A 15656-nucleotide genomic window follows, 5' to 3' on the forward strand; every position below is an offset into this window, starting at 1 on the left:
GGGCATGGTGGCTCACGCTTGTAATCCCAGCACTTTGGGAGGCCTAGGCGGGCAGATTGCCTGAGCTCAGGAGTTCGAGACCAGCCTGGGCAACACGGTGAAACCCCGTCTCTACTAAAATACATAAAAAATTAGCCAGGCCTGGCAGCGTGTGCCAGTAATCCCAGCTACCTGGGAGACTGAGGCAGGAGAATTGCTTGAATCTGGGAGGCGGAGGTTGTAGTGAGCCAAGATCATGCCATAGCACTCCAGCCTGGGCAACAAAGCGAGACTCCATCTCCAAAAAAAAAAAAAAAAAAAAAAAAAGCAGCAGCATATTGCAAGTCTTGGGTTGACATTTTATTTTTCTTTTCTTTTTTTTCCTTTCCTTTTCTTTTCTTTTCTTTTCTCTTTCTTTCTTTCTTTCTTTTTCTTCAGACAGAGTCTCGCTCTATTGGTCAGGCTGGAGTGCAGTTGCGTGATCTTGGCTCACTGCAAGCTCTGCCTCCTGGGTTCACGCCATTCTCCTGCCTCAGCCTCCCGAGTAGCTGGGACTACAGGTGCCCGCCACCACGCCCGGCTAATTTTTTGTATTTTTAGTAGAGACTGACAGGGTTTCACCCTGTTAGCCAGGATGGTCTCAATCTCCTGACCTCGTGATCTGCCTGCCTCGGCCTCCCAAAGTGCTGGGATCACAGGCATGAGCCACCGCGCCTGGCCATAATTTTCTTTTTCTTATTAACAGCTTTATGGAGATAAAATTCACATACCATACAATTCACCCATGTAAGATGTTCGATTCAATGGTTTTTAGTATATTCACAGAATTGGCAACCATCCCCACAGTCAACATTTTCATCACCTCAACGCCACTGTGCCTTTTAAATATCACCCTCTGTGCTGGACTCTTCTTCCAGAGGATGCGCAGACCAGCCTGCTTCTCTTAATGCAGTGGTCCCCAACCATTTTGGCAGACAATTTTTCCATGGACAGAAGTGGGGGTGGGGATAGTTTCCGGATGTAACATCAGGCATTAGTTAGATTCTCATAAAGAGCATACAACCTAGGTCTCTCGCATGCGCAGTTCACAATAGGGTTCTCGCTCCTATGAGAATCTCATGCCGCTGCTGATCCGACAGTGGGTAGAGCTCAGGCGGTAATGCTCGCTGGCGGCTGACCTCCTGCAGGGCCACCCAGTTCCTAACAGGCCATGAATTGGTACTGATTTGAGGTCAGGGGTTGGGGACCCCCGTCTTAATGGGTCCTGTGCCCTTGGCAAGTTCTGCAAGGTGCTTGTCAGAGAGGCTGTTGAGGTCTGGGAAGCCCTGGTGGGCAGGGATTACTGGGAGTTGGGGCACAGACCAGAGGCTGGGTCTCACTCTGTTCAAGGCAGGATGATCTGTTGACTGGGAAGCCCCAAAGGTACCCAGTTGTTGGGAGTCAGGAAATAGAAACAGTCAATGAAGGATGAAAGGATCCCCTACGGCAACTCAAAATCCCCAACGGGAGACTGAAACAATGAGAGGGCAGTTCTTGCCCACCAGGGTGGCAGCGATGAAAATGACTGGTAATTATTCAGTGTTGACAAAGGTGTGGGTAAACGGGAACAAGCATTCCTCCTTATCCAAATCCTGAAACTTGCAGGACAGTGAATTTTCTGAGAGCCAGAGGCTATGCAATCCTTTATTTAAATGGGTTTTAAATAAATTTCCTCTTCATCCAAAAATTCCAATCCATTTCCCCTAAATATCACTATGCAGTCTTAAACAACTAGATGCACAACTCATCAAAAACCTCCACAAAATATAAATCATTTGAACAACTGTTTCATGTATAAAATGGTATGTTTGTGTTCAGTGAAAATAATATACAATATTGCCCAGGCATGGTGGCTCACACCTATCTATGATCTCAGCACTTTGGGAGGCTGAGGTGGGAGGATTGCTTGAGCCCAGGAGTTTGACACCAGCCTGGGAAACATTGCAAGACCCCATCTCTACAAAAATGAAAACAAACAAACAAAAATTAATATCATATAGTCATAAGTACAAATGACATTTTTCTTCCATATTTGTTTTGTATTGATTTATTACTCTTTGTCACTTTCAACTTCTCTCCTAGGTTCCTGAGGAGATACACTTTCTTCAGAAGCTGTTCTACTTCTTCTTCTTTTTTTTTTTTTGAGATGGAGTTTCACTCTTGTGTCCCAGGCTGGAGGGCAATAGCGTGATCTCGGCTCACCGCAACCTCCGTCTCCTGGGTTCAAGCGATTCTCCTGCCTCAGCCTCCTGAGTAGCTGGGATTACAGATGCCTGCCATCATGCCCAGCTAATTTTTTTTTGTAGTTTTAGTAGAGACGGGGTTTGACCATCTTGGCCAGGCTGGTCTTGAACTCCTGACCTCGTGATCCACCCGCCTCGGCCTCCCAAAGTGCTGGGATTACAGGCGTGAGGCACCGCGCCTGGCCCCCTCCGTACTTTCTGAGACATCCATGCTGTGGGGTACAAGGCAGAGTGAGGAAGCCTGAGAAGACCGTCTGTGCAGCCATGATGAGCCCTCCAGGACACACCGCTCTGGGAACAAAGGACACCAGAACCCAACTTTAAGAATGAAGCCATTCATGTAAGATCATCCACATTTACAACAAAGCAGTATGTTTTCATATGGGTATATGCGTGTGTAAATGTGTAAAATGGACAATAGGACAATATAACCCACTTGACATTAGCGGTGCTGTCTCTAAGGAGACAGTAGCTGGTGGGGGCGTGGGAGAAGGAGGATTTTCTTTATAACTCTACAGGCCTAACGTATGACTTTTTACAATGATAATGGATTCATGTGCTATTTCATTTAAATAAATCAATTAATAAGTAAGCAGGCCAGGTGCAGCAGCTCACGCCTGTAATCCCAGCACTTTGGGAGGCTGAGTCGGGCAGATCACTTGAGGTCAGGAGTTCGAGACTAGCCTAGCCAACATGGTGAAACCCCATCTCTACTAAAAATACAAAAATTAGCCAGATGTGGTGATGGGCACCTGTAATCCCAGCTACTCAGGAGGCTGAGGCAGGGGAATGGCTTGAATCCAGGAGGTGGAGGTTGCAGTGAGCTGAGATAGCACCACTGCACTCCAGCCTGGGTGGCAGAGCAAGACTCTGTCTCAAAATAATAATAATAATAATAATAAGTAAGCAAAAACAAAAACAAAACAGATGGAAGGCAAGTGCTTACCTCACAGACTGTGATGAGGGCTGAGAGAAGGGTGTCATGTCCCGGCCCCCAGGGCCCTCAGCCAGACTGGTCATTTGCAGCAAGTCCATGTGGAAAGGCCACTGGTGGCTGAGGGTGCAGAGCTCAGAATCAAGTGGGCAGGGGTCGGGAAGGACAGAGCTGGGGGGCGTCTACCTCTGCTCAGTGCCCAAGGGGTGGATGAGGTTCTTGCAGAGTGCATGTGGGAAGAGAAAAGGGCTCTGAGGTTGACTCCGGGGTACATGATGATGAAGGGCAGTGGGCGAAAGGAACTAGCAGAAAAGGCCCTGGAAGGTGCAGAGGAACCCTGGAGGGGGCGGGGAGCCAGGTGGCCCTGCAGGCAAGCGGAGAGGAGGAGGGGAGTGTCTGGATGTCAGGGGCGAGGGAAGGCCCAGGAGGCTGAGGTCTGAGGAGAGGCTGTGCTATCAATCTCTGGGGGTGCCCTCTGGGGTGCCCAGAGCAGTTTCGGTGCATGGGGAGGGCAGAGGACAGCTCGAAAAGGGACATGTGTCTGTGAAGCCTGTCAGTGTGGACCGTTCTGTCAAAAAGTCTCATGAGTTGAGCAGAAGGGAGCCTGAGTGAGGAGGAGGCTGAGAAAGGAAGCACATTTAATAAAGCGAGAAAAGGGGATTTGCTAGGGAAGACGGAATGGGGGTTCCTCAAAAAACATAGAATTACCACACAGTCCAGCAATTCCACTCCTGGGTACATACCCCAAAGCATTGCAAGCAGAGACTCAAACACATGTTTGCACACCCATGTTCATAGCAGCATTATTCACAGCCGCCAAAAGCTGGAAGAAACCCACATGTCCATCAACGGAGGAAGGAATGCATGAACAAAGTGTGGTCTATCCACACAGTGGAATATCATTCAGCCTTCAAAAGGAAGGAAGTTCTGATACATCCTACAACATGGGTGAACCTTAAAGGTGTTACACAAAGTGAAATAAGCCAGACACAAAGGACAAACACTGTATGACTCCGCTTATAAAGTCAAAGTCATAGAAACAGAAAGTAGAACAGAGGTGAGCGGGAGGCCGGGGGAGAAGGGAGTGGGGAGTTATTGTTTAATGGGTAGAGTTTCAGTTCGGGAAGGTAAAAGCGCTCTGGGTGGGTGGTGGTGACGGTTGCACAGCGACGTGAATGCCGCTAAGCTGCACACTTGAAGATGAATAGCATCGTCAATTTCACAGTTGCAGCTGCTTCTGATTTTATTTGTTCTCACTTCTCACACTCCCAGAACCCGCCTCTAACAGATCAGAGGCACTAACAGCCTCCAGGCAGAGCCCCTCCCCAGATCCAGGCTTCTGGGTTCTGATGACCCTGACCTCTCCCCGCTGCCCATTCACCTGCAGGAGTGGCAGCTGCTCCCTGCAGTAACTCTTTCTGTGAGCTCAATATTCACTTTTGTTTTGCCTTTTGGATTGTTTGCCATGGCCATTTGCTGCTCTGTTTAACTAGTCCCTATATTAAATTCTATTGAGAAAAAAAGGTAAATTTTATTTTATGTTGTGTATGTTTTATTGCAATGCATTTTTTTTTCTTGTTTTTTTGAGACAGAGTCTTGCTCTGTTGCCCAGGCTGGAGTGCAGTGGTGCAATCTCGGCTTACTACACTGGGCCTCCCTGTGGAGGTGGAGGCCTCCCAGGTTCAAGTGATCCTCCTGCCTCAGTCCCCGAAGTAGCAGGGATTACAGGCATGCACCACCATGTCCGGCTAATTTTTATATTTTTAGTAGACAAGTTTTCGCCATGTTGGCCAGGCTGACCTCAGGTGATCCGCCCACCTCGGCCTACCAAAGTGCTGTGATTACAGGAACGAGACACCGCACTGGGCCTGCAATGCATTTTTTTTTTTAAGTGGAAGGGATATTTTGGGGACATCCTGGAGGGTCTTCCAGGTTAAAGGGAGAGCGGCGGAATCCTGGGCAGCTCTGGGACCAGGTCCTGCCTCAGGGACTCACAGACCCAGGCCTCCATTCCTGCCCTGCTATCTCTGTGGATGTCTAGAAGCAGCTTCTCCTCAGCCTCTTCCCAACAGGATACATGGCCATTAAGGGGACAGAGGGAGCTGTCTCCCAAACCTAGTAAGAAAGATCCCAGGCAAGGATTCATGGGACACAGAAGCTGGAACCTCAAAGTCGTGTTCAAACCTCCTTATTTCCGATATCATCACCTCTGGAGGATGACCTTTCTACTTCAAAAATGAGTTTACTTTTGGCCTTCCCCTTCCTTTTTGCTTCCTGCTGACCTTGGCTGGCTTATTACAGACTCCTTCTGAGTGATCTCCCTACCCCAGGCTTAAGGGATGGGTTTACTTAAGAGGAAGAAACCTAGCACATTCCAAGAATGTGAGGGAAGGGAAGAGGAAGGATGAGAACAGGTTGGGCGAGGTCATGGAGGAGGCAAGGTGTCTCGACTCAATGGAGGATTCAACATGGAAACGAGGTTCAAGTTCAGCACCAAGGGCATCTGTCGGGGAGATCTGCTGTCTTGGCTTCCCTTTTATGAGGAGACAAGGTCTTCTGCTGAGAGCAGAGGGTCTAAGGTGGAGTTCAGTGCTGAGAAGATGCAGAAAACGGGGACTGAGGGGCCAATGGGTAGGATGACTGGTTGGTGTTAGAGTGCCACTGGGGTGCTTGGGAACTTTGGTTCAGGAAAGCACTGTGCAGTCCTTTTAAAAGATGTCTGCAAGTTTATTAGCAGTCCACTCAAAAGGTGGAGTCTAAGTTTTCTCACCTTGAATATGGTTGACTTGTTTCTAATAATAGGCTGTGGTGGAGGTGATGCTGTGTGATATCTGGGACCAGGAGAGAAGGCAATATAGAATCCCCCTGGTTCTCTTTCTTGGGACACTCACCCCTGGAACCCAGCCACCGACGCTGTGAGGAAGGAAGCCTGGGCCACATGGGGAGACCACTTACTGGTGTTGTAGCTTGGCTGAGCTCCCAGTCAGCAGCCAGCATCAAATGCCAGACACATGAGCAAGCTCCTCATTGACTCCAGCACCAGCTACCATCTGACTACAACCACAGGAAAGACCTCAAGGAAGAGGCACCCTGCTGAGCCCAGCCAATCCCCAGAAGTGGGAGAGAGAATTGTGATGAATGGATGTTGTTCCTTGATGCCACTAAGTTTGGGGTGATTTGTTAGGCAGCACTAGATAGCTGGAGCATGCTGCTATACCACTCTCAGAAAGTCAGTTTCTTTGGTTGGTTTTGTCCTTACTGAATGAACATCAGGTTTTTTTTTCTGATAATAAAAGTGATACTTGCTCATTTTAGAAAATTTGGAAAACTGAAAAAATTCTGAAGAAGGAAAAAAATGGCCTGAAAACCACTATACCCAGAGATAATCGCTGGCACACAACAGGTGCTCAATATTTACAGAATAGGTGAAGGAACCTGATGGGTGGAGTGTATTTGGGTTGACCCCCTCTCCTCCCCACAGCTGGGCATTTAGGTTGTTTGTAGGTTTTAGAGTGGTAAATTCTTTCCTTTTTCTTTTGTAGCCACATTAGAAGATAAAAATGGTCAATTCTTTTTTTTTAGGTAATTTTTTATTTTTATGGATTTAGGGGTACAAGGGCAGTTGTGTTACATGGATATATTGTGTAATGGTGAAATCTGGGCTTTTAGTGCTCTCCTTACCTGAGTAGTGTACATTGTTAAGAAGTGGTCCATTCTTTACTTCTGGAGTTCACTGTGTCAAGCAAGAGAGAAGAAGGGAAATAGAGTGAATTAGAGTCAGGCAAGCCACCCTGAGGTTCGGAACCTCAAACATTAAGTCTTTCCCAGGCAGAGAAGCATTTTCCAGAGCCTCCAGCTTCTTCCTACCTAGAGCACTGATTCACCCCAGAGGACACGCTGGGTCAGGAAAGAGATTGCAAACATTTTCCTTCTGGAGAATAGATTTACACAGGAAGGAAAGCTCCTGTGATAAAGTTTACATCCATCTTTCAGCCTTGCCGCTCACGTTACACAGCATCATGTTGACTTCAAACACTCCTAGACGGCAAGTGCGGGCACTGCCGTCTGCTACTCTCTGGAACAAATGTGGTTGTATGATCCCGGGACCTATAAGGAATGTGGCAGATAAATGCAACAACCGAACCCAAATTATTTACCATTTTCTAAACCAAAAACCTGGAAAGGGGACAGCAGAGATAATGTTGAGCAGATCATGTTAATGATCCAGAATTTTATCAACCCTGCAACTACAAACACTTCCAATTCCATCTGGCTTGAAAGACGCCACTCACAAAGTTAATATTTTTTCTTGTGCATATTTTAGTACATTTGGAATTGCTTTCTTCCCCCATTTTGTAGCAGTGACATAACTGGTAAAATAGGTGTGAGGCAGGGTTTGAGGTGGATCCCCCTGATTAATCAGAAGTACTTCCCTCCTTTCTTTAGGGAAGTGGGCCTAGATAAGCAGAGATGAGATTATTTGGTTCTGGTAGGGATGGCCTGGGAGAAGGACCCTTACTTTTCCCCACAGGGTACAGAAGCCAGGGGTTGAGGGACCAATGCCCTGCAGTGGGCATCTACTGTATCTGTCTGCCCAGCACCCATTCCCTTTCATCTGGGATCAACATCTAGTTTTCTTTTGAGAAACCATCACTCCCCAACTCAGTCCACATGGGGACAGAGCTGACACAACCCCTGATGCCAGGGTTGAAGAGGTGACCTGGATGGTCAGGGTCAGAGTGATTGGCTCACATAACCAAACTAGGCAACTGAGCATCAGTCCTGGGTTGTCTCATGAATTCCGAGGAAAACAGCATTCTCTTTCTCTAGGGTCACCAAGCTGCCAGGAAGGGATCCTGGAGCTACGGTGATACCATCTTTAAGGGAGCCTGTCTAAGAGGAGAGCCGAGCTGAGAGGCAGAGAGATAGCATCCTATTCACATAATTTGAGCCTCTGGATCCAGCCATGCCTGAAACCCATCAAATCTCTGGTCTTCCTATTTAGGTCAGCCAAAAACTAATTTCTTTTACTTGGGTTTCTGTCACTTACAACCCAATGGGTCCTTAGTACTATAACCCCTGTGTGCCTTATTGGAAGAGGGAGAGATTAAGAGAGATGAAACTGGCAGGCCAGCCATCCCCCCAGTTAGGCTTCCAGAGAGGAGACCTCCACATCAGTATGGTCAAAAGTATAAACATGTCTGTCCGGAGCTCTTCCTGCAGTGGGCCCAGGCATTGGCCTTTGTGGCTTACTTTTACCACCATCATTTTGATAGACTGTGAACTGGTATAAATATTGCTCAAAATCCAGAGCTGGAATAAAAATTGCCCCCAAATCTGGAATTTGGCCCTTCTTTTTAATTTTTATGTATTTATTTTTGAGACAGGATCTTGCTCTGTCACCCACAGTGGTGCCATCATGGCTCACTGCAGCCTCAACCTTCTAGGTTCAAGCGATCCTCCCACCTCAGTCTACTGAGTAGCTGGAACTACAGGTGCATGCCACCACCATACCTGGCTAATTTTTAAATTTTTTGTAGAGACAGAGTCCCACTATGTTGCCTAGGCTGGTCTCCAACTCCTGGGCTCAAAGGATCCTCCAGCCTCGGCCTCCCAAAGTGTTGAGATTATAAGTGTGAGCCACTGTGCCTGGCTGGATTCGGCCCTCCTTGACATCAAGCCTGTTCCTCAGCTTAACTGCAGGCACTGACCCAGACCAGGTCTGCCTGAGCATAGTAGATAAGTGAAGGATGCCTACGTGAGTCAGGCCAGTGATCAAGAATAAAGAAACTGAATGTTGGCCGGGCGTGGTGGGTCACGCCTGTAATCCCAGCACTTTGAGAGACCAAGGCGGCTGGATCACCTGAGGTCAGGAGTTTGAGACCATCCCAACCAATATGGTGAAACCCCATCTCTACTAAAATTACAAAAATTAGCCAGGCGTGGTTGCGGCGCCTGCAATCCCAGCTACTTGGGAGGCTAAGGCAGGAGAATTGCTTGAGCCCGGGAGGTGGAGGTTGCAGTGAGCCGACATCCTGCCACTGCACTCCAGCCTGGGTGACAGAGTGAGACTCTCTGTCTCAAAAAAAAAAAAAAAGAAAAAAAAAAAGAAAAAAAAAAGAAATTGGATGTTAAAACCTTTACCAACCCCAGGTGAGTTCTGCCACCTGCATTCCCCATTTTGGTTGCAACCAAGTGACCACGTGGAAGCTTCTCCTACTCTTGCTACTGGCCCCTAGGGCTCCCCAAAAGAAACTCAGCCTCTTCATGTCTCCTTCATCTTTCTCTCTTCTGGGGGTCATGTCCAAGGCTCCCATTTGTACATTTGGCCTCTGCCTACCTTGGGCCTCCCTGTGCCTTGCTTGGGTCATTCTGGCAGCTTCTGACTGGGCCCAATGCAGCCGGACTTTCCTCATTCAAGTTGGTGCCCTGCGTCAGCCCCTCTCTTTCAGAGGCACATGCCATGGCCTCCTTGAGAATTCTCCAGTGGCCTCCCTGCCCGAGGCGAGGGCACAACACAGATGTCCTCAGGCCAAGCAGAGACATGGGCCCAGTGACATCACATTTTCAGATTTTTCTAGAAAAGCCAGATACTTGAATTTTGGGGGGTAATTCACTTGATTTTTATGTGTTAGCCATTAATTAACAAAAAACAGTCCAGGCACAGTGGCTTATGCTTGTAATCCCAGCACTTTGGGAGGCTGAGGCGGGTGGATCACCTGAGGTCAGGAGTTCTAGACCAGCCTGACCAACATGGTGAAACCCCATCTCTACTACAAATACAAAAAAAATAAGCCGGGTGTGGTGCGGGCGCCTGTAATCCCAGCTACTCGGGAGGCTGAGGCAGGAGAATCAGCTGAACCCGGGAGGCAGAGGTTGCAGTGAGCTGAGATCGTGCCACTGCACTCCAGCCTGGGTGACAGAGCGAGACTCTGTCTCAAAAAAAAAACACCAAAAACCAAAAAAAACCAACCAAACAAACAAAAACAAGCAAACAAAAAAACAAACAAAACAGAAAACAAACAAGCCAAAAAAAAAAATCCCCAAAACAAACACACAAAACCTGCTGTCTTTGTGCAGGATGATCACTCGGGAGACTAATTTGGCAATATCTAGTAAGGCTGAATTTGTGTCTGCTCCATACCTTGGTCTTTCCACACCGAGGTAGGTACCTGAGAGCAGGCGTATTCAAAATTTGGTCTCAGTAATCCTTTATTCCCTTAAAAATTACTGAGGACTCCAAAAGAGTTTTTGTTTATTGGATATTAATATTTACCCTATTAGAAATTAAAACTGAGAAATATTAAAAGTATTTATTTACTAATTAAACAACAGTGCTAAATCAATCACAATGTAACATAACATCTTTTTAGTAAAAAATAACCATGCTTTTTCAAAATGAAAAAATTAATGAGAAGAAGGCACTGTTTTGCATTTTTGGAAATCTCCTTAGTATCTTATTCAGTAGAAGTCACTGGAGTCTCATTAATGCATCTGCAGCTGTATTGGTTAAAATACGCAAATACGCAAAAGCATATCTGGCTTTATTCACACAGATATGTAGTTAGAAAGGGAGATTCTCTCAAACAAATCAGCAAGAAAACAACCAACAATCCCATCAAAGAGTGGGCTAAGGACATGAATAGACAGTTCTCAAAAGAAGATATACAAATGGCCAACAAACGTATGGAAAAATGCTCAACATCGCAAACCAAAACCACAATGAGATACCAACTTACTCCTGCAAGAATGGCCATAATAAAAAAATTAAAAAATAATAGATGTTGGTGTGGACGTGGTGAAAAGGGAACACTTTTACACTGTTGGTGGGAGTGTAAACTCGTACAACCACTATGGAAAACCGTGGAGATTCCTTAAAGAATTAAAAGTGGATCTACTGTTTGATCCAGCAATCCCACTACTAGGTATCTACCCAGAGGAAAAGAAGTCATTATACAAAAAAGATACCTGCACACGGATGTTTATAGCAGCACAATTCGCAATTGCAAAAATGTGGAACCAACCCAAATGCCCATCAATCAACGAGTGGATAAAGAAAATGGTATATATACCGTGGACTATAACTCAGCCGAAAAAAGAATGAAATAATGGCATTCACAGCAACCTGGATGGAATCAGAGACTATTATTCTAAGTGAAGTAACTCAGGAATGGAAAATCAAACATCGTGTGTTCTCACTCATAAGTGGGAGCTAAGCTGTGAGGACGCAAAGGCATAAGAATGATACATTGGACTTTGGGGGGTTGGGGGAAAGGGTGAAGTGGGGTGAGGGATAAAAGACTACAAATTGGGTGCAGCGTACACTGCTCGGGTGATAGGTGCACCAAAATCTCAGAAATAAAAAAAATAAATAAAAGAAAAAAACAAAAGGGAGGTTCTCACAGGCCCCTGAAAGGGTCTCAGGGACTCCCTAGGGTTCCTCCGACCACACTTTGAGGACTGATAGCTTAGAGCCTCTCTTGGGCAGCTTCGTAAGTGCACGTCTACACAGGAAGAACATTAATGCATTGTCTGTAATAGCGAATATTTGAAACAACTGAAATGCACATCTAAAGGATGAAGAAATTGGAGTGTATTTCTTCAGTGGACTACAATGCAGCAGGAAAAGGAATGTTTGGCATCTGTGTGTATCAACATGGATCAATCTCACGATGTCAATCAAAAAAAGCAGCCGCAGAACGATTCTCATAGTTGACTACTATTTGTGTAAAGTTACATTTTTTGGTTGTGGTAAAATACATATAACATACAATTGACTATCTTAACCATTTGTAAGTGTATTTATTTCAGTGGTATTAAATACACTCATGATGTTACGCAACCATCAGCACCATCCAGCTCCAGAACTCTTTTTTTCTTTTGAGACAGAGTTTCGCTCTTGTTGCCCAGGCTGGCGTGTGGTGGCACGATCTTGGCTCACTGCAACCTCTGCCTCGCAGGTTCTAAGCGATTCTCCTGCCTCAGCCTCCCAAGTAGCTGGGACTACAGGTGCCTACCACCATGCCCAGTTAGTTTTATTTTTTATTTTTATATTTGTAGTAGAGACAGGGTTTTGCCATGTTGGCCAGGCTGGTCTCAAACTCCTGACCTCAGGTGATCTGCCTGCCTCGGCCTCCCAAAGTGCTGTGATTACAGGCGTGAGCCACTGCACCCGGCCTCAGAACTGTTTATCTTGTGAAAGTGAAGCTCTGTCCCCATTATACAACTCCCCACTCTCCCCTTCCCCCAGGCCCTGACAACCAGCATTTCACTTCCTGTCTCTATGATTTTGACTACTCGGCTCCGATAAGTGGAATCATACTGTATTTATCTTTTTGTGACTGGCTTATTTCACCTAGCCTGATGTCCTCAAGCTTCACTCATGTTATAGCATAGGTCAGAATTTCCTTCCTTTTTAACACTGAATAATATTCCTTGCATAAAGTTTTAAACATGAAAAACAATTACATATTTTAATGGATATATACGCATGTGGTAAAATAGAAAGAAACGAATGAAAAGAATAGACACCAAAGTCAGGATGGTGTCTGCCTCTGCAGGGGCGAGGGGAGATGGTACTGGGAGGGGCGTGCAGGGGCTTCGGTGGAGTCAGCAGTAGCTTGCTTCCTAGCCAGGGGATTTTATTCTGTATGCCAGCGCTTCCTTACACTCATGCCGTGCCCAGCATACACGTGTGCTGAGCTCAACACTCAGGTGTGCCTGAGATATCCACACCTTGAGTCCTCTGGGCAGCCTAGCAGAGCCTGGGGCAACTGGAGCCCCTGGGCTGTGAGCCCACTTTGGGGAGGCCCAGTTGAGTGACAGGACCTGAGAAGCACCCTGTGGTGCCCCAGCGGCCTCAGGAGCACCGTGAGCCTTGGTGGTATGCCCTGATCTAGGCGGGGTCCTGAGTGCCATCAAGAAAGAGCTGCTTGCTGCCTGGATGTGGAGGACAGTAGCCAGCCGCCAGGCATTATGCTGTCTGGTTTGGGCAAGAGCCACAGGGGCTGGTGAGCTTGCATTGCAGGTGCCCAGGAGTAGCGGGTACAGACTGAAGGGAGGCCCCCTAGGGGTTGGAGGGAAGGATGAGGGCAGGTGCCTGGGCAGGCCCAGCTCCGGGCTGCCTGCTCTGTCTTCACACAGATGCTTCTGTTTGGGTGACTGTAGGGGTACAGGGGTAACTGTGCCACCTGCAGGCAACCATTGCAGTCAATCATGTGTGCTCTACAAGTTAGAGTGTCAGCATTATTGTGACATACTCAGTATGAAAAAATCGGACTGGCTCACGCCTATAATTCCAGCACTTTGGGAGACCAAGGCAGGCAGATGACTTGAGGTCAGGAGTTCAAGACCAGCCTGGTCAACATAATGAAATCCTGTCTCTACTAAAAATACAAAAAAAAAAAAAAAAATTACCCGGGAGTGATGGTGCATGCCTATAACTCCAGCTACTCGGGAGGCTGAGGCACAAGAATCTCTTGAATCTGGGAGGCAGGGGTTGCAGTGAGCCGAGATTGCACCACCGCACTCCAGCCTGGGCGACAGAGTGAGACTCTGTCTCAAAAAGGAAAAAAAAGAAAGTTGGACTGGATTAGAAATCCTAAGAAGTTCCTATATCATAATTGCCAAGGAAAGAAAGGGTGATCCTTTATGTGTAGTTTTGACCATTGTAAAAATTTTAAGGTAGAAAAACACAATTTTTAAACCTTTTTAAAAGTCACTTACTTGTAAAAGCAAAATTTCTTGGCAATGATGATTACTAAGAATCTGAAACTCTTGCATTCAAGGGATGATATGTCATTTAACAGAAAGAAGAGGAAACTGGTCACAGTGGCTGATGCCTGTAATTCCAGCACTTTGGGAGGCCAAAGCGGGAGGATTGTTTGGGGCCAGAGGTCAAAGCTGCAGGGAGCCATGGTTGCACCATTGCACTCCAGCCTGGGCAACAGAATGAGACCATGTCTCTTAAAAATCAATCAATCAATCAATCAATCAATCAATCAATCAATGATGAAGAATCATTTAAAAAAAACCTAGAATTTGAAGCTTGTCTCATTAAATCAGGACTCACGGGTGCCCACTGAGCCTGAAGCCTGACATAAAAATTATTTTTATGGAAGTAAGTCTTCCTTAAGATTTTGGAAAATATTTTATTCAAATTTTATGTTAAATATATTTTCCCCTCTTTGTATTTTACCTTTGAATCAGAATTATATAATCTAAAAATGTGGTAATTTTTTTTCTTTTTTTTAGAGACAGAGTCTTGCTCTGTTGCTCACGCTGGAATGCAGTGGCATGATCACGGTCCCTGCAGCCTTCACTTTCCTGGGCTCAAGCGATCCTCCAACCTTGGCCTCCTGAGTAGCTGGGACTACAGACATGTGTCACCATGTCCAGCTAATTTTTGAATTTGTAGTAGAGATGGGGTTTTGCCATGTTGGCCAGGCTGTTCTCGAACTCCTGACCTCAGGTGATCCACCTGCCTCGGCTTCCCAAAGTGCTGGGATTACAGACGTGAGCCACCATACCTGGCCTGATTTCCATTTAGAAAATTGACTAACTACATGGTTCCTTAAAACACAAAATTTAAAGCGTTTGCAGAGAGTAACTTCTTTTATTTTTATTTTATAGAGACAGAATCTCTCTGCCATCCCAGGCTGGAGTGCAGTGGTGCACTTATAGCTCAATGCAGCCTTTACCTCCTGGGCTCGACCGATCCTCCTACCTCAGCCTCCTGAGTAGCTGGGACCACAGGCATACACTTCCATGACTGGCTAATTTTTTCATTTTTATTTTTTGTAGAGATAGGATCTAACTATGTTACCCAGGCTGGTCTCAAACTCCTGGCCTCAAGCGATCTTCCCACCTCAGCTTCCCAAGGTGCTAGGATTACAGGCATGAACCACTGCTCCCAGATGCAGATAGTCATTTCTTAGCAGAGGTGTGCTGGATAACAGAGACACTTAAAGTGAAACATTCACTTCGGTATTCATCTTGGCAAAATGAAAATGTATGTCCATACAAACATCTGTACACAAATGTTCACAGCAGCTTTAATAGCCAAAAAAAAAGGGACACAACTCAAATATCCAGCAGGTGAATGGTTAAACACACTCTGGGATGTCTGTACACTGGAATACTACTGAGCAATGCGGAGGGTCCACCTACTGCTCTGGGCAACTGCTGAGAGGGACTATGACGGAATGATGCTGAGTGAGAAAAGCCAATCTCAAGTGGTTACATACCATCAGAGACCATCTCTATAACATTCTTGTTTGAGAAACAGCTTTATTGATGTATATACTCACATATGATTTACCCATTTATCATGTACAATGCTGTGGCTTTTAGTATTTTCACAGAGTTGGATAACGATCACCACAGTCAATTTTAGAACATTTTCATCGCCTCCAGATGAAACCCTTTAATCCCTCAATTCCCCCCTCAACCACCCCATCCCT

General features: G+C 46.2%; 1 annotated feature.

Moving 5' to 3' along the window:
* Nucleotides 13355-13474: a silencer, noted in NCBI's record as "silent region_16636". NCBI's record gives its function as "represses an Ori minimal core promoter by ATAC-STARR-seq in GM12878 lymphoblastoid cells {active_cell/tissue: GM12878}" and the evidence as "EXISTENCE:reporter gene assay evidence [ECO:0000049][PMID:35858748]".

This window comes from Homo sapiens, chromosome 5, assembly GCF_000001405.40.
Source record: "Homo sapiens chromosome 5, GRCh38.p14 Primary Assembly".
NCBI lineage: Eukaryota > Metazoa > Chordata > Mammalia > Primates > Hominidae > Homo > Homo sapiens.